This window comes from Homo sapiens, chromosome 18 (assembly GCF_000001405.40).
Source record: "Homo sapiens chromosome 18, GRCh38.p14 Primary Assembly".
Classification (NCBI taxonomy): domain Eukaryota; kingdom Metazoa; phylum Chordata; class Mammalia; order Primates; family Hominidae; genus Homo; species Homo sapiens.
This window is the reverse complement of record NC_000018.10, coordinates 3,294,751-3,298,088: the sequence shown is the minus strand read 5'-3', so window position 1 is coordinate 3,298,088 and position 3,338 is coordinate 3,294,751. Positions and strand designations below refer to the sequence as shown.

Sequence of the window (3,338 nt, the reverse complement as noted above, 5' to 3'; positions counted from 1 at the left end):
TTAATTCTTTTTTCTTTATTTTTGTCTGATTGGGTTAATTTGAAAGCCTTGTCTTAGAGCTCTGAAATTCTTTCTTCTATTTGGTCTAGAATATTGTTAAAACTTTCCAGCTCATTTTGTAATTCCCTAAATCCCTAAATGTGTCCTTCATTTCAAAAAGTTCTGGTTGATTTTTTAAAAAAATCTATCTCTTTAGAAAATATTTCATCTATATCCTGAATTGATTTTTAAATTTCTATATGTTGTTTTTCACCTTTCTCTTATATCTCCTTGAGTAGCTTAATGATCAACCTTTTGAATTCTTTGTCTGGTAAAGATTTCTCAAATGCCAGTAGTAGTAGTAATGAATTGGTCATGTGGACAGACTCAGGACCCCCTGGTTAGCCAGAACGATGCAGGCAATGGTGACAGCTGAGGTCATGCACAAGTTTTCTCCTTCCTTGGTGCAGTGTTACACTACTTGGAGATGCTGTAATGGACTGTCAATTGGCCTCCAGCCAGAAGGTGGCGCTTGCCAAAGAGCACCAGCTGCCGTAGTAGCAGTGGGATTTGTGCTTGCCTCATGTTACCCAGGGGAGGTACTCTGGTGACTCAGGTAATGGGTGGGGCCATAGAGCGCCAAAAAATTTCTGTCCTTTGTGTTAAGCTACCAGAGCAAGTGAAGGAGCAAAGCCAGGTGGCGGCTGGATCAGGCAGGTTCACGCTGTGGCTCCCCACATGCGGGGTAAGCAGTGGCCCCTGTGGGGGTCAGAGAGCATTTTTCTGGCCGCAGGGGTAATGTTGCAGGGAGGGGTGCAGCTGCCTCTGCTGCACAGAAGTCTCTCTACAGGGGTTGGGGAGTAGCAGGCGGCAGTAAGCCCCACCAGCGCCCATGCACTTGGCAAGGCCGGTCCCTCACCCGCAGGGTTCCGCTTGCAGCAGCTCGTTAGAATCCAGGCAGTCCGCATTCAGAACTCAAGACTGCCCCATGCCATAAGCCTTCCTGAAGGAGAGAACAACCAATGCTTTCAAGCCACGCCCCTCCCAGTCTGCCCGTGAAGCAGGGGCGCCCAGCTCCTGCACCCGTGGCTGCAGCACATTTCCCAGTCACTCCTTGGTTCTGCCCAAGGGGGTTTGTCCCCATTCGGCATTATATTGTGAACCCAGTTGGGAACTTCTGCCAACCTGTGACTGCTGTCTGAGTTAGCTGGCAGATTTCTGCACAGTCCTCTGTGAGGTAGGGTCGGGAATGTCTTCCCTCCATCCTCACTGGAGCCTGGGAGTGCATGCAAAGCCCGTCCCAATGATGCTTTTTCTCATACATTCCCCACTGCTCACTAAAATCAGCTCCATTGCTGGATAGGGTTAAGTTCTTCCCTCATGGGCCTCTATTGCCAGATTCCCAAGTGGGAGTGTATGTTCCAGAGGCAATTTATTCCTCTTTCACTCTGGGGAACTTAGTTTTCCACTGGCTTATGGTGTAGGCTGCAGCCCAGTGCTTCTTTCAAAGGGTCAGTGGCTTCTTTCAGTTCTCCTGTTAAGTTCCTGTGTTGCTTCTAGGAGAAAAGTTCACAGTGTGTGAGTCTCTACACACTATCTTGTCTTTCCAAGTGGAAGAGGCATGCTAACACTGCCTCCAATCTGCCATCTTGGGAGCAACAGAGTGAGAACTTGTCTCTTAAAAAAAAGGTGGGGAGGCCGGGCGCGGTGGCTCACGCCTGTAATCCCAGCATTTGGGAGGCCAAGGCAGGCAGATTATGAGGTCAGGAGTTCGAGGCCAGCCTGGCCAACATGGTGAAACCCCATCTCTACTAAAGATATAAAAAATTAGCCGGGCGTGGTGACGCCCGCCTGTGATCCCAGCTACTCAGGAGGCTGAGGCAGGAGAATCGCTTGAACCTGGGAGGTGGAGGTTGCAGTGAGCAGAGATAGCGCCATTGCACTCCAGCCTGGGTGACAGGGTGAGACTCTGTCTCAAAAAAAAAAAAAAAAAAAAAAGTGGGAGGGGAAGCGGTCTTTTGTTTTAGAGATATCTGCTTTAATATGTATGAACAAATATCAGTGATTTGCTGACAAAATGATTTGTCAGTGATTTACTTCAAAGTAATCTAGTGATGCAGGTAAGAGGGCTGAGGGATAATGATGAAAGGAAAATGGGAGGGGTTATAGATGAAACAAGTTTGGCCATGAGCTGATTATTATTGAAGCTAGGTGATGCCTACAAGGGGATCCATACATTATTTTCTCTTTGCAATACAATCCTGACCTGGAGTAAGGTCAAATTTCACAGGTTAAGGGAACAGCCACTCACAGGATGCCTCTTACCCCAGATACCAGCTGTTATATGTTCCAGGGTTCCTGAGCCACCGGTGCTTCTGACCAACTGACCACAAATGCAGGGATTCCCACTAACTCCTCAGGTTTAATAATGGACCAGAACAACTCACAGAATGCAGGCACGCACTATACTTAGGCTTAGTGTTTCATTATAAAAGACACAAACCAGGGACATCCAAATGAAAAGGTGCAGGGAGCAAAGTCTGGGAGGGTCCCAAATTCAAAGCTTCTTTATGCTCAGGACCTGTCATCCTCCTGGCACACTGATGTATGATTATCAACCTGGAAGTTTCCCCTAGCTTTCATGTCCAGAGTTTTTATTTGGGTTTTATTTTGTAGGCATGATTGGTTGAATCATTGGCAGTGTGATCGAATTCAGTCTCCAGCCCCCTGCTCCTTCCTGGGGGTCAGAGGTCAGAAGTCAGGCTGATATCCACATTGCTCAAAGCCCCAACCCTCCAGTCACATGGATGGCTTTTGTGGCATGTCCAGCCCCTATCCTGAGTGATATCATTAACATAAAGTCAGGCATGATCTGAGGATATTATTTCATAGAAATACAGCCTTCCACAAACGTTGGAACTGGTTAAAGAGTCTCTGTAAGACTGTAGTCCTTTCATCTGGTACTGGAGCTTGAAGTCCAGAGGGCAGAGAGTTGGAAAGCGACAATGGATATAAAGTGAGGAAGATCAAGAAAAGACTGGAACCCACAGCATGAACTAGAACCCAGCAGGACAAATTGAAACTCATGTCAGTTCATATTCCTTCTGGTGTTGATAGTGGGGACCCAACCTCATGGAACTAAACACACACACACCAGGCCCAGGAGTCAGGGAAGCTGAGGGAAAACCCAGTGGAAGGTAGAGCAGGCCCAGCTGCCGCTTCATGCTGATGAGGTGAGTCAGCAGATCAGCAACAATGTGTGTGAGCTACAAAATGACTGCAGCTTCCCATCTGCTTTCTGAATCTCACAAGAATCTCCCTCATGGCCCACCATAACCAGAAACATACAAGAAACAAAA

The 3,338-nt window shown here is 47.4% G+C and overlaps 2 annotated features.

Annotated features, from left to right (window-relative positions):
* Positions 804 to 883: an enhancer, noted in NCBI's record as "active region_13043". NCBI's record gives its function as "activates an Ori minimal core promoter by ATAC-STARR-seq in GM12878 lymphoblastoid cells {active_cell/tissue: GM12878}" and the evidence as "EXISTENCE:reporter gene assay evidence [ECO:0000049][PMID:35858748]".
* Positions 3,044 to 3,338: an enhancer, noted in NCBI's record as "tiled region #9674; HepG2 Activating non-DNase unmatched - State 24:Quies, and K562 Activating DNase unmatched - State 5:Enh". NCBI's record gives its function as "activates a minimal TATA promoter and a strong SV40 promoter by Sharpr-MPRA in HepG2 and K562 cells {active_cell/tissue: HepG2 | K562}" and the evidence as "EXISTENCE:reporter gene assay evidence [ECO:0000049][PMID:27701403]".